The sequence below is a fragment of the Homo sapiens genome, chromosome 16, assembly GCF_000001405.40.
Source record: "Homo sapiens chromosome 16, GRCh38.p14 Primary Assembly".
Lineage (NCBI taxonomy): Eukaryota > Metazoa > Chordata > Mammalia > Primates > Hominidae > Homo > Homo sapiens.
Genome location: NC_000016.10, coordinates 65,745,674 through 65,770,694, shown reverse-complemented (window position 1 = coordinate 65,770,694; position 25,021 = coordinate 65,745,674). Strand labels below are relative to the sequence as shown.

General features: G+C 45.0%; 3 annotated features.

Annotated features, from left to right (window-relative positions):
- Positions 1,383-1,883: an enhancer, noted in NCBI's record as "H3K27ac hESC enhancer chr16:65802715-65803215 (GRCh37/hg19 assembly coordinates)". NCBI's record gives its function as "activates a minimal SCP1, AML or CMV promoter by ChIP-STARR-seq in primed H9 embryonic stem cells {active_cell/tissue: H9 hESC(primed)}" and the evidence as "EXISTENCE:reporter gene assay evidence [ECO:0000049][PMID:30033119]".
- Positions 3,207-3,707: an enhancer, noted in NCBI's record as "H3K4me1 hESC enhancer chr16:65800891-65801391 (GRCh37/hg19 assembly coordinates)". NCBI's record gives its function as "activates a minimal SCP1, AML or CMV promoter by ChIP-STARR-seq in primed H9 embryonic stem cells {active_cell/tissue: H9 hESC(primed)}" and the evidence as "EXISTENCE:reporter gene assay evidence [ECO:0000049][PMID:30033119]".
- Positions 9,006-9,743: an enhancer, noted in NCBI's record as "OCT4-NANOG hESC enhancer chr16:65794855-65795592 (GRCh37/hg19 assembly coordinates)". NCBI's record gives its function as "activates a minimal SCP1, AML or CMV promoter by ChIP-STARR-seq in naive H9 embryonic stem cells {active_cell/tissue: H9 hESC(naive)}" and the evidence as "EXISTENCE:reporter gene assay evidence [ECO:0000049][PMID:30033119]".

Sequence of the window (25,021 nt, the reverse complement as noted above, 5' to 3'; positions counted from 1 at the left end):
ACTTGTTAACTCTTGGTAAAGTAGACTTTACTCAGGATCATGTCAATAGGCGTAGGGACTACTGTAATGGGGTTTTGCAGTCAGGGAGAGAGATTAGATTCGACTCAAAACGTATATGGACAAGTCAAAATCTATAGCCAAGGTGCAGGGTTGGGGCCAGCGGATGGAAAATTACTAAGAGGAAACATCAGAGATAAGGGGAAGGATTTCTGGCTAAACCAACCTAACAAGATTCTTGCTGAAGAAAGGCCAGGGTGATCAGACACCAGATGGGGAATGGTGGAGGGTGAGGAACCTGATTAGGTATAGAGGGTGATCAGATATCAAGAGTAGGGATTTCTGGCTAACCTGATTTTTCTGGGCTCCTTGCAAAATCTGCCAAGGGCACAGATGAGCCTAGGAGAAGGCTCAGGAGCCTGACCAAAGTTTGGACAAACAAAGAATCTTTGTCAGCAATTTATTGGGTCCAGTACAAGATGAAAATGTAGAGTTCCTTGTTCAAAAATTAATTTCAAGAGTCACCTCAAGAATGGCAAACTTCATAAATTTGGAAAGGAGAGCTTCATTTCTCGTAAAGTATTGCCCCTGCAGGGTGGCCATTCTGACCATCTGGAAAGCCTAGCCATCAGTCAGAAGCCAGAAAAAAGTGCTTTGAGGGTGGGAAGAATTAGACTGGAATTCATGTGGTCAAACCCTTATCTGTGCCTGCAGGCTGTTCTTTTGTTTGAATGACCTCAACTGAGGACCCACCCTAACTGTCTGCCTGACCAGTTTCTTCCTTCCTCTTCTCTCAGTTTCAACACTGCAACCACCCAGTATTCCTTCCCACACTGCAACCACCCAGTATTCAACACTGCAACCACCAACAACAGAGTGGTTCTGGCCAAAGAATGGAGGATGTGCAGTGAGTGTTTTCATTTCCTCTGATTCTCTTTTTGACATCAGAGGGCCAAAAACTCCATCCTTGGATATACCAATGGAGTGGTCAAACACACATATTCAATAGGTTACAGGAGGATCTATGAATATTCATGAAAGGACAAAAATGTACATGGGAGATTGAGCTTTATTCTTCTTCATGAGTTCCATGTTCAAAAAATAGTGGAATAGTACGATCCAGGGATGGAGTTTTTGGCCCTCTGATGTCAAAAAGAGAATCAGAAGAAATGAAAACATTCACTGCACATCCTCCATTCACTGGCCAGAACCACTCTGTTGGTGGTGGTCTCTTATCAGGAAGGAATACTGGGTGGTTGCTGTGTTGAAACTGAGAGAGGAGGAAGGAAGAAACCAGTCAGGCAGGCAGTTAGGTCCTCAGTTGAGTTCTTTCAAACAAAAGAATAGCCTGCAGGCACAGATAAGGGAACTTGCACAGGGGAGGCTTGCATAAGATATGCCTACAGCTACACAGATAAGAAAGCCTACACAGGAGACTTGCCCAGACATGCTCGCAATGGAAAATTCTGTTGCCTGACACATGCACAGTAAGGGGAACATAGCAATATGGAGTAACTCAAGCTAAGGGCCCACATGTGTGCTAGGAGGAAGGGGTGAAGCTACCAGAAATTCACACCTTATGCAAATGAGATGCCCAGCCTGCATCAGTTTCTTATAAAAGCCTCTGTATTCAACTGTGAAACGCAACCCTTTTTTGGGACCCCTCTCTGCGGCAGAGAGCTTTCTCTCTTTCTTTCACTTGTTAAACTTTTGCTTCTACCTCACCCTTGGTGCCCATGCTCCTTAACTTTCTCGGTTGTGAGACAAAGAACTTCGGGTGATACCTTGGGCTATGAGAGACTGCTATATTATGGTGCATTGGTGAGACCATAACAAAACCACAAAAGGGAGGGACAGTCACAAGGTTGGTTGAAATCAGAACTGGAACAAGTCTTTCCATAGGGGTGGTTTCTGGTTAGCCCTTAGGAAACAGAGCCTAATGGTGGTTAGCGAGGGAGAGGGCATAATGAGGCATGTCCAACCTCCCAGCCCATATGGCCAGCAGTTCAGTTTTCAAGGTTTTTCTGGGGTCCCATTGGTTGAGAGGGGGTCCATTAAGTTGGTTGGGGAAGCTTAGGATTTTATTTTTACTTCTCTCACAAGACAACAATAGAACATTGAACCCCATGTGGAGCCCTTCTAAGTGTGGCTTCTGTTTTCCTGCACACATGCTCACGAAGCTGGCTCTGTCTAGTAGTGGAATGTGAGCCTTACAGAGAAAAAAGAAAGGAGAAAAAATTAGAAAAAAGAAATATTATTTCTTGTCTAGCTCATTTCAATGAACAAAATGAGTATAATTGAATTTAAATAAAATTAAATGAAAACACTGAATGCTTAGCGCCAGGCCTGCTGGGGCTGTGCTGCCTGCTCTCTTTCTCCTCCAAGGCCAGGAAGGCTGTGTCTGTTGCACTTGTGATTTTACTGACTTCACTGAGTACAGACCTCAATCCTCTTTCCTCCTCCCACCTGGTCCAGAACTCATTCCACACCTTCCACAATGCTTGCTCAATTTTCAACTTTGGAGCGCTAAGCTTTGCTCTGCCTTTTGTATTTTAATTGCTTTCTCTCCTGCTTTTAATGAGCAATCAGGGCTATTTCTTTATTGAGGACCTGCTGGCAAATTTCAAGCAGTGTGTGTGTATGTGAAAGGAATAGGTGAAATCACATCCTCTGGCATGATTAGCCACAAGGAGGGGTTAAATAGACATCCATCTAAGGGAAAATGTCCACTTAATGTGCAGCCTTAATTCAAAGGAAATGTCAAGTACTCAACTAGATGCTCTGTGGCAATGGAAGAAAAGATTGGAAGGAGGGGTTGTGGAGATATCTGAGACCACAGCCAATGTGGGGAAATTAGCTTAGGTAGGTGTGTGCAACTGTGAGCTGGTGCACTTGTGTGTTTCGTGCCCCACATGCTCCATCAGAATTAACTAGGTAGGAAGTAGGAAGTAGGCAGTAGGCAGGAAATAAAGGCCAAAGTATTGTGGGCTAAGTTAGGAGAGAACATAAGCTCGTCATTACAGAGTAAGGTACTGTGTTGGTGCAGGGAATATTACATTTTAGGATTCCCTGGAAGAAATGATCGCTTTTGCCCCACATCTTGTTATTTTGGGGAGGTGATTTGTAATAATGTTGCCAGTGGGGTATTTATTTCTTCAAATTTCTATATTTTCTACAACCACCCTGGTGTCCCACACTCAGCTGGCTGACAATACATGCAAGCTGATTGACAGGCAGAGATGAAGAAAGCCATGAAATGAGTTTCCTCCCTGAAGGAATGGAAACCTTGGGCCTTCAATTAGTCCCTTTCCTCCCGGCTGGAACTCTTCAGTATGACAAAGGCATCAGGTTACAAAGGGATGCAGGGAATTGTCGTAGCAGGACCACAGATGTCACACATGTCCCGAACTCTCAGAGACAGCTGAGCTCAGTGATAGCAAACGTGGCTCTGTGTCTGTGGTTTTTTATGAGACTCCCCTGTGCCCTGAAGGACAAAGTTCATGGTTTAGAGCTACAACAGCCATTGCCTCAAATGGGCAATTTGACCACTTAGCTCAAAGTGAGCAAATATTTTCTATGATTAGAAAAATTTTTTTGTTAAACTAACCCAACAAAATGGCAAATGACAACATTTTAAAAAGGAAAGTTCTGCAATCCCACCATCCCAAAGCTATTGAAAAAGGATTTGCAGGCTGGGTGCGGTGGCTCATGCCTGCACTTTGGGAGGCCGAGGCTCCCAGCGCTTTGGGAGGCCAAGGCGGGCAGATCACCTGAGGTTGGGAGTTCGAAACCAGCCTGACCAACATGGAGAAACCCTGTCTGTACTAAAAATACAAAATTAGCCAGGCTTGGTGGCACATGCCTGTAATCCCAGCTACTGGGGAGGCTGAGGCAGGAGAATTGCTTGAACCTGTGAGGCGGAGGTTGTGGTGAGCTGAGATCGCGCCATTGCACTCCAGCCTGGGCAACAAGAGCAAACTTCCGTCTCAAAAAAAGAAAAAAGAAAAAGGATTTGCTTCTTTCAAAAGAGAGGACTGGACATTTGGAAGTTCTGAGTATTCCATTATATCAACCACAAATGGGGTGAGTGAACATGTCATGTGTGTTTGTGTGTGTGCGTGTGTGGGCTTGGTCCTTTCTGGCCCTGTATACCCCTTGTCAGTCTGAGTGTGCCATATTTAAAGTTGTCTATGTCAGATGTAACTGTAGACTCTGTCTTAGTCAGCTCAGGCTGCCATCACAAAGGACTGTAGAGTAAGTGGCTTAAACAACAGACTTATTTTCTCATAGTCCTGTTACTGGAAAGGGGTACTGATCTAGACCCCATGAGAGGGTTCTTGGATCGCATGCAACAAAGAATTTGGGGCACGTCCATAAAGTGAAAGCAAGTTTATTAAAAAAGTAAAGAAATAAGCTGGGTGCGGTGGCTCATGCCTGTAATCTCAGCACTTTGGGAGGCCAAGGCAGGTGGATCACCTGAGGTCAGGAGTTCAAGACCAGCCTAGCCAACATGGTGAAACCCCATCTCTACTCAAAATACAAAAATTAGCCAGGTGTGGTGGCAGTTGCCTGTAATCCCAGCTACTTGGGAGCTGAGGCAGGAGAATCGCTTGAGTCCGGGAGGCAGAGGTTGCAGTGAGCTAAGATCATGCTACTACACACTCCAGCCTTGGCAATGGAGTGAGACTCTGTCTCAAAAAAGAAAAAAAAAAGTAAAGGAATAAAAGAATGGCTACTCTGGCAGGGTACGGAGGCTCAGGCCTGTAATCCCAGCACTTTGGGAGGCAGAGGCAGGCGGATCACCTGAGGTTGGGAGTTCGAGACCAGACTGACCAACATGGAGAAAACCTGTCTCTACTAAAAATACAAAATTAGCCAGGTGTGGTGGTGCATGCCTGTAATCCCAGCTACTCGGGAGGCTGAGGCAGGAGAATCGCTTGAACCCAGGAGGCAGAGGTTGTGGTGAGCTGAGATAGTGCCATTGCACTCCAGCCTGGGTAACAAGAGCGAAACTCCGTCTCAAAAAAAAAAAAAAACAAAAAACAAAACAAAAAAAAACTGGGAGAGGAACATCACACACTGGAGCCTGTCGGGGGGTGGGGGGCTAGAGGAGGGATAGCATTAGGAGAAATACCTAATGTACATGATGGGTTGATGCGTGCAGCAAACCACCGTGGCACGTGTATACCTATGTAACAAACCTGCACTTTCTGCACATGTATCCCAGAACTTAAAGTATAATAAAATAAATAAAAAGTAATAGCTACTCTCTAGGCAGACAAACAGCATGGGCTGCTGGTTGGCTCTTTTTATGGTTATTTCTTGATTGTATGCTAAATAAGGGAAGGGTTATTCATGAGTTTTCCAGGAAAGGGGTGGGCAATTCCCAGACCTAAGGGTTCACCTCCCTTTTTAGACCATATAGGGTAACTTCCTGACATTGCCAAGGCATTTGTAAACTGTCATGGTGCTGGTGGGAGTGTCTTTTAGCATGCTAATGCATTATAATTACTATATAATGATCAGTGAGGACAACTAGAGGTCACTTTTATCGCCAACTTGGTTTTGGTGGGATTTCACCAGCTTCTTTACCGCATGCTGTTTTATCAGCAAGGTCTTCGTGACCTGTATTTTGTGCTGACCTCCTAGCTCATCCTGTGACTAAGAATGCCTAACCTCCTGGGAATGCAGCCCAGTAGGTCTCAGCCTCATTTTACCCAGGTCCTATTCAAGATGGAGTCACTCTGGTTCAAATGCCTCTGACAGTCCCTGGAGGCTGGAAATGTGAGATCAAGGTGTCAGTAGGGTGGGTTTCTTCTGAGGCTTCTCTTCTTGGTGGCAGGTGGCTGCCTTCTCCCTGTATCCTTACATGGTAGACCCTCAATCTGTGCGTGTCTATGTCCTGATCTCCTCTTCTTATAAGGATACCAGTCAGATTAGATTTGGGCCTACCCAAATGGCTTTCATTTGACTTAATCACCTCTTTGAAGTCCCCGTCTACAAGGGTCTTCAAGATCCATGTTCTGAGGTCCTGGGGATTAGAGCATCAATCCATTAATTTTGAGGACACAATTCAGCCCATAACAGTGATCAAGTAATTTCCCTTCACGTGACCAAGCGCAGGTTGCCCAAAGTTGGAGAGTAATTGAAAGCATTTGAAGAAACTGGGGCAAAGATGCTCCAGGAGGAGAGGGATGGACACCTGGTTTTTCCTTTTCTGCAGGCCTCAGGTCCCTTAACCCACTCTATGTACCCCTTTGGTGAGTGTCATTCCCACAGGGCCAGACATTAGAGGACACTCCCTGTACCAGCTCAGGCTTTCTCTGTTTCTCCTGGGAGCACAGAGGCTCACAAGACTGTCGGCTGCTGAACTTCACTCTATTGTTGATAATGTGTGCATCAAGATTTTATTAGTGACACCTGACAGAAACAATGAGGACGGAGGAGAAAAATAGAAGGGATCTGGAGGAGGTTAGGGCTATTCAATGTTCTGTCTTGCAATTTTGATCCTCCATCCATCACTCCTTCTGCCTGGCTTTTGTCATGTCTCTTAAACGTGCAGCTCTTGTGAGTGGAAAGGACTTTGACCAGTAGAGAAAGGCAGAAAGCAGCCGAACTTTATTTAGCCTAGGCCTGGATTGCTCGCTTTGCTTAGCTCAGCACTGACTGTTGGTGGTGGGCAGGCAGTTTGTAATTCATAGACTCAGGCAAGAAGAGACAGCCAGGAACCACCACCCTCTGCGCCTCCCACCAGCTCTAGGGCCACACAGGGCCTCTCACAGCTTCTCTTTGCTGGAGAAGTTTGAGGTCTGCCCTGTTGGGTAACCCACTCCCCCAGTGACCGCAGACCAGGTGGTCTGGCATCTGTTTTCTGCCCAGTGTGAAGTGATACCCTTTGAAGATACTGAGATGCCCTTTGAAGTCAAAAATAATTGTTCTCAGTGGTGATTTTTCTCTTTGGCTCATTCTTCCACAGAGGGTGATGGTTCATGCTTGAAGAAGTCTTGCCTAAGAGAAAAAATGCCAGAAGAGGAAATGCAGGAAATGTGGCCCGCATTTGAGGGCATGTCCCCTCCCACTTTGCTTCAACGCTGCTCTCTCTTTAGGGTTCACCTGCCCCTCTTCCAAGGGGCCCTCCCTGACTACTTCAGGGCAGACCAATCTCTGAGCACCACAGGGCTCCTCACCAGCTCCTCTGGGAAAGATCTACTTCCTCTGCAGACACTTTGGGTCAGAGCCTTAAACTTGACCTTTAGAAGCCAGCATGGGGTTGGACACACAGAGCTATTCAATAAGTATGTATCAGATGAGTAGGGTGCAGCTGAATATCTAGTAACGAAACTTCCCTGCCCTGACTACTCCGGCCTGGTCAGATGTGATCTCTTCAGGGAGGCCACCTCTAACCTGAACATTCACTCCTTCCTCTGTATAGCCTTGTACATTGGTCTTTCATGTGCATATTCCATGGTTTTTATATTTATTTGTTTACATCTCACTTTCCTCCCATCCCAGCAGAATATGACCTATTCCTTTTGATATTCCCCAAACCAACAGGTTTGACTCTGTGAAGACACATGCCATGACAATTGAACTGAATTACACCTAATTAGGAGGAGAAATAATCATGTTGCTTAAAGTATGCTAAATCTGGCTTTGGCTAATTTAGAAGCAATTACTTAATTTATTTTCTCATTACTTATGGAGCAGGTATTATGTCAAAGCATAGTTCTGGGCATTACAAATGAAATAAGTGTATATTTGTTGAGTTATTCCTATAGACTACCAACTTTCAAAGAGGCTACCTCTCTGCACCTCACCAGAATAGGATCAGGAATAGTGTCTGTTCTGCTCACTGCAGAATTCCCAGTGCCTATATCAGTGTCTGGAAAATAAGGCACTCCACAAATATTTATAAAATGAATGAATAGCTTATGAGACAAATTTTATTATACCATTTTGTGGAGAAGTTAAATCACTTGCTGAAGGCCATTCAGATGTTACCTGGTAGAGTCATGATTCCAGTCTGGTCTGTTTGACTCCAGTGGACATGGTATCTCCATGTATCCCCATCCTCTCCCAGCATTGGAAGATGGCAATGCCTCCATCATCATCAGTTGAGGACACAGATGCTGTCAGATGAAATGGGTGTGATCCAGAAAATGTTCTAGGTGGGACTGGAGGTAATGCAGGTTATTATAGTTACAACAATTATTATTAGCAATGATATAGGAGTTAAGAAAATCCTTAGGCAGATAGTGAGGAAATAGAAGTCCTTAGTAAGGTTTTCCTTTCAATGAAAACCAGCCCCCAAATCATTTTCTTTTCTAACAAAGAGCAGCCCATAAAATTGGGCTGCAGACATGAACAGGTGAGCCGGATGGTTGCACAGGTGAATGCCAGCAGTCGTGCCCATCTTCTCTTTTTGCTAGCCACATGTACAGTAAGGAGCCAATAAGATGGCGCTGGCCAAGTGGAAAGCTCTTTTGCATAATAAGATTAGGGTGGGGTGACCAGCCTTCTCCACATGCTATGTAAATGTCACAGCTGGTCAAACCAATCTCTGAGCCCTAGGTAAATCAGACACTGCCTTCCCAAGCCTTCTTATAAAATCTGCAGCCATCAGTTGCCTTTCCCCTTTTCAGATGCCTCTCTCTGGCAAGGAGCTGCTCTTCCATCTCCTTTCTTCTGCCTATTAAACTTTCAGCTCCTTAACCCACCCACATGTGTCTGTGTCCTTAATTTTTGTGGTGCGAGATGATGAATCCCAGGTATTTACCCCAGAGATGCTGCTTCAGCAAGTTATTCTGCAAAATATTAGGGGAGGACTCAAAGAGAAAGTGGTAATTAGCAGAGCCTGGTAGAATTAGAGATTTGTAACCTTCACATGATGGTAGCAAAGGAATGTTAATGGTGGATCCCAGGCCTGCAGGAGAGGCAGACATTGGTTTGACCACCACTTTTTTGTCCTAGGAAATTCATTAAGCAAACTTTTACCTGATACCTAGGCTGGGCCTGGATTCTGGAACAGACAAGTCCTGTACCCTCAAATAGCTAATGATCTAGTCAGAGAAACAGAGTCAGTCACACAACACAGCAGTGTGGTGGGATGATGGTCACAGTACAGCCCTCTTGTGTGGGGGTCATTTAGCCATGTTATGGTGCTGTTCATTATCTGGATATGTCTCTGGGAGAGTCCCAGGTTTGAATGTATTTGTTGGCCAAGGTCTGTTGAATGGAGCCTTTGTTTTTCAGCAAAGTAATCATCTCTAAAAGAGTGAGAACTTGGCGCCTGCTGTCAACCCAAAGCTGAGGAGAAATTAAAGCTCTTGATCTGCAATTGATCAACTATTAAAGTCACAGCATGGGGTGTTTCTGTGCTTTGTCTGTTTTTGTTTTGCTTAATATTTACCTTATTGGTTGGAATGGCATTCCTTCATTTAAGACACATGGGAAGTGCATCTTGATGATTTATGCCACAGAGCGTCCAATTTGTGGCATAAATAACAGGTGCTCTTTTGGGAGCATTAAAATGACATTGTTGTGGAATATTTATAATGAATAGCTCAAGTGATCACTCCTGTGCTGATGGCTCAGGAGTCACTGTCTCTGCTTGAGGAGCAGGCTGTGATGTCGCCTCCTCTGTGTTGACAGTCCCTGACACTTTTTGAAAAGACAACAGAGATGACAGACTCTTATTTATCTCTAGGAGTGGATCTGTTGTTTTCGATGTTTAAACACATTTATTTAATCCCACTGCCTGCTCTGCATGGAGCCATGACTATCCCCATTCTACGGATGAGGAAATGGGAGCTCAGAAGCTCAAGTGAGTTGCCTGAGGTCACACAGCTTGTCAGAGGCGGAGTTCAATTGCCAGTGTCTCGAAAATCAGTGTCTTTTTTTCTCTATAATAAATTTTTTATTCTAGGCTTTCAAATTCCACTTACTGGTTTTCAAGATGTCTTGTTTTTGTGCGTTTTCTGTGACAGTCGGAGAGATAAAAGATTGGGTCTAATCTCACATATAAGGTGATGTGGGCTCCTGGAATCCTCTCATCCCCGTTCTAGGCTGGCCTGATTTGTAGACTCCTCAGGAACCCCCAAATAACTGAAATAGGCCCCAGTCAATTTAGAAAGTTTATTTTTCCAAGGTTAAGGACATGCCCCTGACATAGCCTAGGGAGGTTCTGACAACATGTGCCCAAGGTGGTCAGGGTACAGCTCACTTTTGTACATTTCAGGGAGACATGAGACATCAATCATTACATGTAAGATTTACATTGGTTTGATGGAGGGGAGACTTTCAGAACATAGGTGGATTTAAAAATTTTCGGATTGGCAATTGATTGAAAGAGTTCTTATTAGTAGAAAGGAATGTCTAGGTTTCCATAAGGGGTTGTGGAGGCCAAGGTTTTATCATGCAGACGAAGCCTCCAGGTAGCAGGCTTCAGAGAGAACAGATCGTAAATATTTCTTATAGGACTTAAGGTCTGTTTCTTATAGGACTTAACATCTGTGTTGACATTAATGCTGGAGGGGTATAAGGAGTCATGTCCAACCCCCTCTTCCATCACGATCTAAACTGGATTTTCAGGTTAACTCCAGAATGCCTTTGGCCAACAGGAGGGGTCCAGTCCATTCCGATGGTTGGGGGGCCTTAGAATTTTATTTTTGGTTTATGAGGGCATGGTAAATAAAGTGGGAGAAGTTATCGAGGACTAACCATTTTCCTATGTATCTATGTATCTTTTTTTTTTTTTGAGACAGAGTCCCTCTCTGTCTTCCAGGCTGCAGTGCAGTGGCACGATCTTGGTTCACTGCAACCTCTATCTCTCAGCTTCAAGCGATTCTTGTGCCTCAGCCTCCCAAGTAGCTGGGACTGCAGACACCCGCCACCATGTCCCGCTAATTTTTGTACTTTTAGTAGAGAGGAGGTTTCACCATGTTGGCCGGGCTGGTCCCCAACTCCTGACCTCAGGTGATCCTCCTGCCTTGGCCTCCCAAGGTGCTGGGATTACAGGTGTGAACCAACACACCCATCCTGTCCTATGTATCTTATATGAGCTAACTTTCTAAACCTGAAAAACAACACTATGTGGTTCTTCGCTATCCTATTGTTTCCATTCTACAGAAGATGAAGTGGAGTTATAAAGATGCTCAATGAATTACTGAAAGTCTTTAGACAATCAAGAGTTAGGGCTGGGATTTTAAATCACTGCTATCATACTCCAAAGTCCACACTTTTTCTATTGGGTTACTGTGTCTCCTAGCTGGGGACAAATGGGAAAGTAAAGACACATTTTGATGGAATGTGAAGAAGTGAGGGTGATGGTAAATGAGTGCTTGTACTTGGGAGGAGACAGTATGTGAAGGTGACAAGCCTGTGTGAGGGGTGTCAGGGACACAGGAAATGGGCCTTCAGGAGGGCAGGGCTGGCCAATACTGGGGGAGGCTGAACTCCAGATCTGGACAGGAGGTTAGGTAAAGAGGCCTCTCACCCAGTAGAGAAGGTTGAGCTAAAAGTAATGACTGTCCTGTTTCCGAGATTCCCATGCACCCTGAACATTAAATAAAGATGGTGAAAAGACCATTAAAGTTGCCCTGAATATTTTTCACTTTTCACATCCCCAGCCTCCCTTTCAATATTGTTTTTGTTTTGTTTTATGATTGCTTGCAGTAAAGCTAAGTCAGACTAAAAAGAGAAACATCCACTCTACTTTGAAAAGTGTTACTGAGGAAGCAAAAGAGTCTATTTTATATTCTGTTTTCACTGATATTTGGGACAAAGCAGTCACAGTCAAGATTGGAGTTAATGCTGGCTGGGGGATGTTTAATACTGTTACATCGGCTGGGTCATGGCTCTATTGTGTACACAGTGTTACACAGGCTGGGTCACGGCTCTGTCAGGGGGAAGTTCAATAGTGTTACACAGGCTGGATCGTGGCTCTGTCAGGGGGAAATTAAAAAAATATTAAACAGTATCTGTCCTGGCTCTGCATTTTGGGCTTCTGATAGCAAACTGGAAATGATTCTTGCTATTAACAGCGGTTTAAAAATGCACAGGGCAAAGGCAAAAGCAAAGGTTTGTCCTAGAGTTCACATCCGAGCTATAAAATGCTGCTAATCTTGAGGTTAGCCTAAAAACATTAGAACTTAGAGGCTAGACATAGAAGAAGCTGACAACTTGTAAGCAAACTTTAAGACTTAGAAACATAGTTCCTGAAGCCAGGAGTGGACAGTCCAGTGCATATAGACCTTGGGGGACAAGAGTCTCAGGAATACCCATTTATTCACTCCAAACATATTTATTGAGGGGTTACTAGAGTAAAGAAAAGCCATTACCTCATAGAGCCACATTCTAGGGGCTGAAATGTGAGCTAGAAGTGACTTGTAGCCTCCCCTACCTGGGTCACAGATGATCAGCAATGCTTTCTGAATGGAGGTCTTCATAAAAATGCAGATTCTGATTCAGTAAGTCTGGGGTGGATCCCAAGAGTGTGCACTGCTGCAGAATCCCAGGTGAAGCTGAAGTTGGTGGTTCCTGTCTTCACTGTTAGCAGTGAAGCTTAGACTCAAAGCCCACTGCTATTCTCTATTTTGCTTATTTATTTCAGTTTGTGGAGTAACATGAATCAAATTCTCCTTCCAGAGCATGAACTTCAGCATACTCAATAAATGCACTCACCATCTTGAGAAAGGAGCTGGAGATAAAGATCCCCTCTTAGTGTAGATAGAGACCTCGATGAGGCACAGCAAGCTGAGTATTAGAGTCAAAACTCTTTTTCCTAGGGAGATCACAGGAATAGGCCTTCTCACAATTTGATATTCTTCTTTGGCCGGATTTTGGGGACCATTTCTAGTTGCACGGAACCTTGACATTGGTCCACATTTATGACACTTTTATCACCTTGTATTTTCAGGAGCAGCCCCCAATCTGTGATTTGCTCCTTTTGTCTCAACAAAAACTCATATTTTTTCAGGCCTTGGGTGCCTGTATTATCACATGCATGTAAACATATATATCCATCATAGTTACTGGATCATCTCAGTGATGTATGGACCATGTGTGGTCTCCGAACCTGCAAACTCCCAATTAGATACTAGAATTTAATCAATTTCTAACCCTCCAGCATACAGGGGCAGAGGGCCTGGACTTGGCTTCACAGGAGTGCTCTGTTACTTTATCATAATAGACATGCAAAAGTTGTGAGGATATGTGCATGTGGAACTGAATAATGTCCTCTGAAAATTGGAAATCCACTTTAAGTGGGAGGCCATCTCATCTGCACCCTTGGGTATTAGGAGAAGGAGTTAAAACCTCTGAATGAGTGTGGAGAGAGACACAATGGGGTGCAACAGGCTATCAGGAAAAGGATATTGTGTTTGGAAATCAGGGCTGGGTGCAGGATGAGGAGCACAGAGTCCAAGCCTTGTTCATTTGGCCAGAGACCAGAAGCTTCTGCTCACCAAAGAGTTCCAGGAGAGATGAAATTTCATCGCGGAGAAGGGGATTGACACACAGCCAGAAGAGGCAGATGAGATTCCGAGACAAAATACGCAGTCTAGGGTAAATGCTACTTGATCTAAAATATAAACTACAAAGAGAGTAATTGTTTAGTCATTGGGGGACCTTTGAACAATTCCTTTTTTGCTACTCTCTTCATTTTAGCACCATTATCTCTGTGCTGCCCACCTGTTCCCCTGCCAAATGGGTGTGTAACCAAGTTAATGATGCTATTAGCTAAAGCTCACTGTAAAGAGAAGGCAAATTTAACCTAGGCCAAGGAGAAAAAAAAAACAAAACCCTATTTTAAAAAATTACTGTTTTGTAAACTTTTTTATCCTCAAAAAGTTTGGAGAAAATGGACTTGGCCATAAGTGGCAGCAGAGTGCAAAGCACCATTTACTGATTTTTTTCTCCAACAAATACAATAACTGTAGTCCACATACTTATTAGAAACCACTAGACAGTTGATTAAAGGGTGTTGATCTTTAGATTTCCACATAATTAAGGATTAATAATTGCCACTCACTGTGCCACCAGTGCAAAGTGATATTTAACCTACCGTAGTCACATTTCTTCTAAAATTCACCCAACAGTTCCAGTTTCAGACTTTGCTTATACACATGTGGTTGCTGGAAACCATACAGGCAAAACCAGTTTTGCTCACTGTCTCTTTAATAAGAAACCTAATAAAACCTCTAAAATGTTTCAGGATGTCTGAGTGATATTTTTAAGTCATTTGCAGATAAGAAAAGACTCCATAGCCCCAAGAAATGGAATAAATACTGGCCACCTTCATTAACCTGCTAAATTTCAGGAAGAGATAATGGTCTCTAAGAGAGGCATATGTTTGATTTTCAAGCCTGAGGACACTTTCATGATGATATATCCGTAGTGACTGGCGGGGGAGGTTTGCCGCACAGTTTATTTCAAACACCGTGGAGTTTGGGCTTATTCATTTGTTTGGTCATTTGACAAACATAAAGACATGAACTGGGAGGCCATGGTAAGAAAACACAAAAATGACAGCTATAGCAAAGAGGATACAGCACCTGCCTGCACAGTGTTTACAGTCCTATGTCTGAGACAAACACTGAAGGACCGCAGGGAAAATTATAAGATGATAATCATAGTAAGTGTTTCAAAGGAGGGCACTGTGACAGTGTGAAACGGTGGGAACTGATGTCAGGAAGGACAGCAGCGGCTTCTAGAAGTAAGAACTTCCCTTCAGTGGTTAAGGGTTTATCTCACTTTTTTTTTTTTGAGATGGACTCTTCGCTCTGTCACCCAGGCTGGAGTGCAGTGGCATAGTCTCAGCTCAGTGCAACCTCTGCCTCCTGCCTCGGCCTCCTGAGTAGCTGGGATTACAGGTGCCCGCCACCACGCCTGGCTATTTTTTTTGTATTTTTAGTAGAGACAGGGTTTCACCACGTTGGCCAGGCTGGTCTTGAACCCCTGACCTCGTGATCCACCCACCTTGGCCTCCCAAAGCTCTGGGATTACAGGCGTAAGCCACTGTGTCCGGTCTATCTCACTGTTTTTAGAATTCTTCCGTTCGCTGGACGCGAGCAGCCAGCCAAGTCAAGCCCGGTCTCTGGCGCTCCCGGCCTCTTGTGATGTCCCTGCTATCAATCAGCTTTGGGATAATGGTCTGTTATTGTTTGCATGTTTCTGGGTTATGTTTTACGTATTAAGTCTGATTAGTCTTTGCCGTGACTAGCCTCTCAGAAGTAGTTAAACTCTGAATCACTGAAATAAAATATTTTTCAGCTGCTCCTGTCAGCTGGCCTCCTCAAGTCGCCGTTCCTTGTGTCTGTGGATAAATCTCAGCCACAGCCGTCTGCTTTTTCTACTAAATTGCTAGCTCACCTCTACTTGACTGCTTCCAGAGATGGAAACCTGGCTGCCTCCTGAGGCAGTCCTCTATCTTTGGACAGCTGCACACATTAGCAAGACTTTCTTTAGAGTAAGCGGATAAAGATCTGGCAGCGTCTTCTGTTTGGTCATTTGTGTTTTGGAGTAAGGCTTAATGGAGATGAGATGGAAGGACATGGGTGTTCTGAGGGTCTCCTCTCCTGAGTTCCCTTGGGGGTAGGGGGGATTTTAGACCGAAACCTAATGATGTAATAGAATAGGACATATGTAATCAGTTTGGAAACATGTGCTAGTAGTTGAGTTTCTTCAGCGAAAGGTTATCATATTCTCCATCTTAATCAGTTCAGGCTGCCATAACAAAAGCACCATAGACTTGGGTGGCTTAAATAACAAACATTCCTTTATCACAGTTCTAAAGGGTGGGAACTCCAAGATCAAGGTGCTGGCTGGCTCAGTTCCTGGCAAATGCCCGCTTCTTGGTTTGCAGAAGGACCTTTCTTGCTGAGTCCTCACATGGCAGAGAGAGAAAAGAGAGAAGCGAGTTTCTTTTTATAAGGACACTAATCCCATCATGAGGGCTCCACCCTTATGACATGACACTACCCAAAGGTCCCACCTCCTAGTATTATCATGTTGGGAATTAGGGTTTCTGTTGTTGTTTTCTGTTTTTGTTTTTGTTTTTTTTGAGATGGAGTCTCACACTGTCGCCTGGGCTGGAGTGCAGCATCGCGATCTCGGCTCACTGCAACCTCCGCCTCCTGGGTTCAAGTGATTCTCCTGCTTCAGCCTCCCGAGTAGCTGGGATTACAAGTGCCCACCACCATGCCCGGCTAATTTTTATATTTTTAGTAGAGATGGAGTTTCACCATGTCGGCCAGGCTGGTCTCGAACTCCTGACCTCGTGATTCATTCACTTCGGCTTCCCAAAGTGTTGGGATTACAGGCGTGAGCCACCGCGCCTGGCCCAGGAATTAGGGTTTTAACATGAATTTGGCACTCCCCCACTGATATGGTTTGGCTATGTATCCCCACCCAAATCTCACCTTGAACTGTAATAATCCCCATGTGTCAAGGGTGGGACCAGGTGGAGATAATTAAATCATGGGGGCAGTTTCCCCCATACTGTTCTCATGATAGTGAGTTCTCACGAGATCTGGTGGTTTTATAAGACTCTGGGGTTCCACCTGCTACCTCTCACGCTCTTGTCTGCTGCCGTGTAAGATCCGCCTTTGCTTCTCCTTTGCCTTCTGCCATGATTGTGAGGCCTCCCCAGCCATGCTGAACTGTGAGTCCATTAAATCTCTCTCCTTTATACATGACCCAGTCTTGGGTATGTCTTTATAAGCAACGCAACGTGAGAACAGACTAATACATCCACTCTCCATCAAGACTAACACTACATGCAAAGAAACCCATGAGTGCCCACAGGTGGCCTGAATCTATGCCCCTGTCTCTGCAGGACTAGCCAAAATAGCCTGGAGGTGAATCCTTTCTTGCCCACTCCTCTAAGTCACCATGATCCTTTATCGCTCTGCTTCTAGATTCACTAGGTGCTCACAAAATTACAACTGGGAGTATAAAGAGCGAGCCTGCTTGTTTTCTTAAGTTGGTTATTATTATAGATCCTCTCTGCCCTCATATGCACACCATTCTCAAGCAGCTATAGATAGAGTGCAGACCAGGCAATGGCAGTTTCCCCAGGTAGCCTGGCATGCATCACAGTGGTAGGTGGTAGATCCACAGTTAGGAGGTATAATCAGATCAGAAGAGCTGAGGAATTCATGCTGTAAAACTACTACTGAAAGAACCCATTTAATTTTGCATAAGTAGAGTGATGAAACAGAAAAATCTCTGGAAGATAATGTTCTCTTCTAAATATACACCTTAAAGTCAGATGTCTTCCTATCCCACCTGGCAGTGTGCTTGGCTCTCAAGGAATTAAAAACCCTACTCTGCCAAAGAGAGCTTGATTTTGTATTTGATATATCAGAAGCTCTGCATGTGAATGTCGCATTTTATTGCCTACTGTATGCAACACATCACATACCGTGCCTCAAATATCCAAGCAGATCCTGATACATGGATTCGATTGTGCCCATTTTCCAGATGAGAAAAGCCAGACAATTAGGAAGAAACTACATAATTAGGACTCTAGATTTGTCCGCCTAGGAAGCTCTCTGCTTTTTCATCAATCAAGTTGTCTCTTTAGGAGGCGATGCTTTGTGACAAAGCATCGGACGGCTGGAGGAAGGGGCAATGTTGAAGGAGGAAGCCTCAGCTGCATTTGTGCTGGCATTTGCTCCTGTAGATATGTAGTGCAACAGAAGGAAGACCACTAACAGTGGAGAGAATGGGTGGAGGCATTTCGGCGGATGCCGATGTGCAAAAAGGACCTTAATAATTAGAAGACAGGCAAGCCAGATGAGGTACATAGCGGGGCTGAGTCCTAGCAGAGGATAATTCAGTAAGTATTCGGAAGAGGCTGTTGGACTTCTCACAGTTGCTTGCAGGTGGAGCTGGTCATGGAGAAGGGAGAGCTAGAGATGCTTCCTATACAACTGCAATTCTCTAACTCAGTATTTCTGGACCTCACAACTGTTGACGTTTTGGGCTGAGTATCATTCTTTGTGGAGGGCAGCTGTCTTGTGTATTGCAGGGGGATTAACAGCATCCCTAGGATCTCCCCAATTGTGACAACTAAAAATGGCTTCAGATGTTGTCCAGTGTCCTCTGAGGAACAAAATCACCCCCAGTTGAAACTCTGCTCTAACTCAATACTCATGGCAATATTAATGGCAGGTGGCTTCACTCTCCTTTATACAGTTATAGGAACTGAGGTTAATGGTTGCAAAATTTGTATCTCGGAATGTGGAGTTTTGAAACTACATTTGTTCTAATTTTATACAAGACGCTGCCTTCCTGCCAAGGGGTAAAAGGGACAGGGACCTCTTGGACTTGCTTGCTGGGAGCTTTGATCTGTTTCCAATGCTTTGTTCCTTGCCCGTGGCCTGGTTTGCTTATCCAAACAGGCAGGAGCACCCTATGCAGTGTGAGAACAAATTGTTGGATTTTAATCCCTTTAGGTACGCCTTATTAATGCTCTTGCATATCACACTGTGAACGCATTCCTTCATTCTCAAACATTTACTGAGCCCTGTCTATGTCCTAGGCATGATACTTAAGGCTGGGAATGGAAGGATGAACCAGTCACACCTGACTCCTGCTGTCATGGACTTTATATTACAGCTGGAGACAGATGGCAACAGCAAGACAATGACAACTGCAACAGCAGTAGCAAATCCAAACCTGGCACTCTGATGGGCAATATGGGATGGGAGACCCAGCCAGATAAATTGAGATCTGAAGGGTGAGACACTACCAGCTCTATGACTATGGAGGGAGATGGGGCACAAGACAGACACAGGGAACATCCAATGCAAAGAGCCTCAGGCAAGACAGAGCTTGGTCTGCTTTAGAAACTGGAAGAGAGTTTTGTGGGGCTGGGTTTGCAGTGAGATTCACCACCCTGACTCTGGTGCTGACCACTAGGAGTCCCAGCTAATCCCTCTGTGCACAGATTTTCTTTCTTTTGTTTTTTAGGCAGTGTCTCACTGTTACCCAGGCTGGAGCGCAGTGGTGCGATCTTGTCTCACTGCAACCTCTGCCTCCTGGGTTCAAGCGATTCTCCTGCCTCAGCCTCCCAAGTAGCTGGGATTACAGGCATGAACTGCCATGCCTGGCTAAATTTTTTTGTATTTTTAATAGAGACAGGGTTTCACCATGTTGGCCAGGCTGGTCTCAAACTCCTGATCTCAGGTGATCTACTCGCCTTGGCCTCCCAAAGTACTGGCATTACAGGTGTAAGCCATCACGCCTGGCCCAGATTTTCAGAACCACAGTCTTTCGCATGAAAAAGCAGAGTGACTTGAATGCATTTGGAAGATGAACTCCTAGGCTGACAAACTCTCTGGAGACAAATCCCTGTCTCCATGTGTGTCTGCTTCCTTTTAGGACTTTCAAACCCACTTGGGTTGTTCCCAGCTTAAGCAGGAGGCGTGGGTCTTCAGTGGCTGCCTTGGGGACTTCATCTTCCTGAGTGCCCTTAAGCCAAAGCCCTGTCTCTTCTTCTCACTGCTTGGGCTTGGAGGCTCTGCCTTGGCCTCACCTGTGTAAGGTGACACACCTGTGTGTGTGTCTGTCTCTCCTTATGCCCTAGTTCTGCTCTCTGCTTTGCTCTCTCTCTAGGATTCTATGCTATGAACATGCACTGGCCTTAGGAGTCTTATGCCCACCCACACATTTTCCCAGGGGCAAGGCCATGGGCATCATTTCCCTTTCTTTGCTCAGCTTCCCTAACTGTCCCCCCTAATGGATTACTCTCCTGCCCTGATGCCTTGGGGTTTGCAAAGAGCCTGGCCCTCTCTGTTAGGAGGAATACGCTTATTGCCTATGTGTGAAGCCTGCATTGTGAGCTTGCCAGGAGCTATGTGAAACTTGGGCATCCAGGGAAAATTAAGCCACAATTCGTGCCTTCCAGAATGCATAGCCTCCTGGCTGAGGAGGGGCCAGAATCTCAGGGATGAGGAGGAAGCCCAGTGGCACCATGAGACAAGGCTGGAATTTAACATCCAGAAACCCGAGCTAGAATGCAGTGCAGAAAGGCAGGAGCTGTGGAAGCTCAGGCAAGTCCCTTCATATACGTGACAGCCAGGATGCCCCACAGCCCAGGCAGGAGAAGCTATGGTAGTGTGCCTAGCATGGGCATCTGCTCAGTGACACTGACTCCCAGCTTGTCTCTGCTGTGGGTTCCTCAGCATCTTTCTTTCTGAGATGCAGTGGCAGCTTCTGTATCTCTTCCCCCTTATGTCTCACAACCATTTCTCAGATGGATTGCAGATAGAGTGTGTTTCTCCTTGGCTTCCATTCTCCTGGCAGCCTAGGGTCATAGAAGAATGTAAAGTTGGTCATATAGATGAGGATCAAAAGCAGGCTTCATCATTCATTGGCTGTGTGATTTCAGACAAATGACTCAACCTTGCTGGGCCTGTTTCCTCATATGTAAAATGGAGGTAGATAATGGCTCCTTTGCAGCAGTGCTTGAGAAACAAGGATGGGAGCCCTAGACAAGGGCTTCCTAAGCTGGGGACTTAGAGGTTTCACCAAACCTTAGCTTCTGCCTCCCTCCTTCTCTCCCTCTCTTCTCTCCTTCCCTCCTCTCCTTCCCTCTTTCTCTCCTTCTCTTCTCTCCTTCCCTCCTCTCCTTCCCTCTTTCTCTCCCTCCCTCCTTCACTTCTTCCTCTTCTCCCCCTTCCTCCCTCTCTTCCTTCCCTCCTCTCTTGTTCCGCTCTCCTGGATGAATTATGGCAAGATCACTTGAGGACGTATATTCTTTGTCTCCCTGTGAGAGCCCCCTCCCCACCTTCGTGTAATTGTCAGCAACAAAGTTGGAAAATACGGACGTCTGAAGCAGCTCTCAGCACGGCAACATCTGCACCAGACAAAACTCAAAAAGCCCTCAATCCCCAGTCATGAATGCACTATAAAAACAATGTGGCAGAAATGAAAATTGTTCCATCATAATATTTCACAGTTCTTTTTGACAAAAGCCAGGCTGCCCTCATGAATACACATTTCCCAGCATCTTATGCATTATGCATCAGCCTATAGCAGGGGACCGGGGAATTGCCAGTCCCTAGTAAAGGGCCTTTGAAAGTGCCTATTTTGTAAACAAATGGAGCCCAGGCCCAGCACTCAGAATCTTTAGGTAATTTAAGACCAACTCGACTCCAGCTGCCCTGAGTGGGGACTGGCTCTTCTCAGGGCTGCAAAAGGCCAAAGAGTCTCCAATGTTCACAGGGTGGAGAGGGGATGCGTCAATGTTCTGTATTCTAATCTCTAATTTCATAACATCCAAGACAGCCATCCAGAGGGTCCGGGACAGTTCCTGCCAGAGCCAAATGTCACTGGAATGCCAGATGAGCCTGCTAAGGCTGGTTTTCTGGCCATGCCGTCAGTTGTCAGGACTTCTGACTCCCAAATGCCGTGAACTGTATTGAACCTTGCAATGAGGATGCTGATGAGTGCAGGTGACTAAGGAGGCCCAGGCAGGGCAGACACTGCCTGTCTCCGGCGGCTTGTAGGAGACATTTTTGTTTGTCCAGTGCCAACAAATTGGAAATAAGAATGAAGTGTGCCTTATTGTCCATGGGAAGGCCCTTGGAGTTCATTAACTAGCCCCTATGTTTCAAAGATGGGAGGACTGAAGCCAGATTTTTTAAGTAACATGTTCAAGGTCACATTTAGAGTGAGCAGCGGGTCAGGGACTGCTGGAAGCCAGTCATCTTTTCCCAGCACCTCCCACTGCCTCAATCATGGGTTGGCAGGGCCTGAAAAGACCAGGGGCAAAATGGTTACTGATTGCTATGATTTGAGTAAAGGGCAGACTGGGATCCTTAAAACAGCCCTGGAAAAGAGCATCATGCAAGGCTATTTTGTGTAATTTGCAATCTGTCCTCAATGGTACAGCTTTACACGGTGACCGATAGATGATAGATACTGACATCCTATCTGTTGCAATAACAAGATGGTGACTGATTCTTTGCTATGTGTATTTATTTCATAAAAATATTCAGCTCGCATTAGGGTGTCACACAAAGGGATTTGAATTGAGAAGCAGAAATTTGGAGTTCCAAGGTTGGACATGCCCTATTCCTGCCTTCTTTGGACCTCGAATTCTCACCTGTTAAATGAGGGGTTTGGCAGGGATGGTCTCTGGGTTGCATCCCAGCTGAAACATCCCTCCTGTCTGTGGGTGAGCACTGGCACTGTGCAGAGGGCACAGTGAAGCTGGAGAGGAAAGGGGTCCACTGCATGCTGAACAGTGCGCCTGCATGGCTGGGCTCCCTGAGGAGGGGTGAGGGGAGGTGGGAGAGACCCCGCTTAGGGAAAGTCGAGGGAAGTTCCTCATTACTACTCCTGGTGCCTGGAGCTCTCCAGCTGTAGCACCCGCTTGCTGATTGATGCAGTTTGACTAATGAAAACAACAACCGCTGAAGGCTGATTAAGATGAGGCAACTTGTTACTCCTCACAGACACCTGCAGGAATTTACTTAGGCGATGGCTGCTTCCCCAACCTCCGCTGACCTGGAGAACAAGCTGACGGTGGGTGACAGTTGGAAAGGAGAAAAATTGGAATCATCAAGCCACCGGTAATATAGAGAGCCTGCCTAGGACTCTTTTTTTTTTTTTTTTTTTTGAGACAGAGTCTCACATTGTCACCCAGGCTGGAGTGTTGGAGTGGCGCAATCTCTGCTCATTGCAACTTCTTCCCAGGTACAAGCGATTGTCCAACCTGTCTCCTGAGTAGCTGAGATTACAGGCATGCACCACCACATGCAGCTAATTTGGAGCCTTTTTTTTTTTTTTGAGACAGGGTTTCACCATGTTGGCTAGGCTGGTCTTGAACTCCTGACCTCAAGCAATCTGCCCGCCCAGCCTCCCAAAATGCTGGGAATTAAAGGTGTGAGCCACCATGCCTGGACCTGCTTAGGACTCTTGAAGCCTAGAATACATGGTTCTTAAACCGTATGTGTGTGTGTGTGTGTGTGTGTGTGTGTGTTTGTTTGTAGAGGGGAGATGTTTGTATTTGTAAGTCCCCAGGTGATACGGCTGGCCCAGGAATTGTACTTTAAGAAACACTGGTACAGAAAAAAGGCTATCTAAATATCCTCTATTTCCATGTCTCAGCAACTTCAAACTATTAAAAAAAATCCCCAAATATCTGTAAAAAATAACTTCAACTTCTACAACTGGCACAGTGGTAAGTAAAAAGCATCTCTGAATACCACAAATGGCCATCTATTTGGTTTCAAACCAAGAAATAATTTCTCCTGAATTATGAAAGTAAAATAATTTGGAAGCTTTAGAAATACAGAAAAGTATTACAATGAAAATAAAGTAAAATAGAAACACATCACATAAAGATAACAGCTATTTACAGACCAGCCTTCTTTTCTTTTTGCCCAGTGAATGTGTAAATATGTGTGTGTGAGTCTTGGCACTGGTCTTACGCAGTTTTCCTAAATTGGGATTCTTGAGGTGATTAGTAGTGTTATGAACAAAATAGCAAAAACAACAAAACAAACCCAGAAACAACAACGACAATGCAAAAGATGTGTAGTAGAGGCTGATTGGAGGTGAAAAATCCTTGAAAAATGCTGAGGTAACCAAAATTTAAAAAGCTGAATAGTCTTCAACCGGAGTGATTAAACCCCATGAACCCTCCATATGATACAGGCACTTGGAGAGGTGGTATTCTCCTAAGTGGGCATCCTTATGGAATTCCTCCTCTTCCTCCAATCACCCCCATCCGCACCCCAAGCTTTGGAAGGGGTGAGGTTTATTAGCAGTCCTAGTAAAAGTGCCAGAAGAGTTGTAAGAAATTCTCTCTGGCCAGGTGTGGTGGCTCACACCTGTAATCCCAGCACTCTGAGAGGCCGAAGCGGGTGGATCACAAGGTCAGGAGTTCGAGACCAGCCTGACCAACGTGGTGAAACCCCGTCTCTACTAAAAATACAAAAATTAGGTGGTTGTGGTAGCTTGCACCTGTAATCCCAGCTACTCAGGAGGGTGAGGCAGGAGAATTGCTTGAATCCGGGAGGCGGAGTTTGCAGTGAGCCGAGATCACGCCATTGCACTCCAGCCTGGGTGACAGAGCAAGACTCCATCTCAAAAAAACAAACAAACAAAAAAATTCACTCTGGGTGTAAGATATCATCTAGTTTAAGCTTCACATCATATTCTCTTTGGTTGGTCATCTTGGGTTTTCTAAAAGAAGCTGACTTATTTTGTTGAAAATTTAGTAAATAAGCAAGAAAGGGTCATTTCAGCTCCATTAACTATTACCACTCTAGAAAATCAACAGCCAGCATTTAAACCCCACATTTTGCATGGCCTTGGTCTGTGCTATAACACAAATTAAGTTTTGTAGGTGTGTGTCCGACTTGGCTTCAGATGGTGGCCTCTTTGAGGATAGGCCGGGTTCTCACAGATCCTTGTGGCCCCAAAGCCTAGCATAGTCTCCTGCAGCAAGCGTGCACCAACACATGTCCACTGGATATGACAATAGGCTTTCTTATAAGTTCTCTTTCAGCAGAGGCAAAGAGTCAAATGTTAATTACATCTGAACTTGAGAAACCACAATAAACCAACTGCCATGGGGGCATAGGAGTAGGAGAAGATAATCCAAGCTCTTGGGAATGACTTAGATGTGAGTATGAATCCATCCCAGGGATGTCTGAAGGTGTTCTTTTCCACCTGATGATGGTTTTTCTTAGGATAGAAAGCCTTCTTGGATATTTGCAAAGTCTCCCATATTGATTGCATTAAGGTCACTTTGTTAATAAATGTTACATCCTGTGCTTCTACCCAAAGTCCACTTTATTTACATGTTTAAAGCATTGTTTTTGTTCAAATCCGAGATGATCTGTGGGTCATGGGTACTCAGCACAGCATTCTTAGCTTTCTGCAATAGGCAGTGGCTACGTCTGTCTTGGGTTATTACCTGAATTGGTCTCTGCCAAGATCCCAGGCCTGCATTTGCCGGGAGTGTAGTGATCTAGGATCTAGATCAAGGATCTAGTTTCAAGAG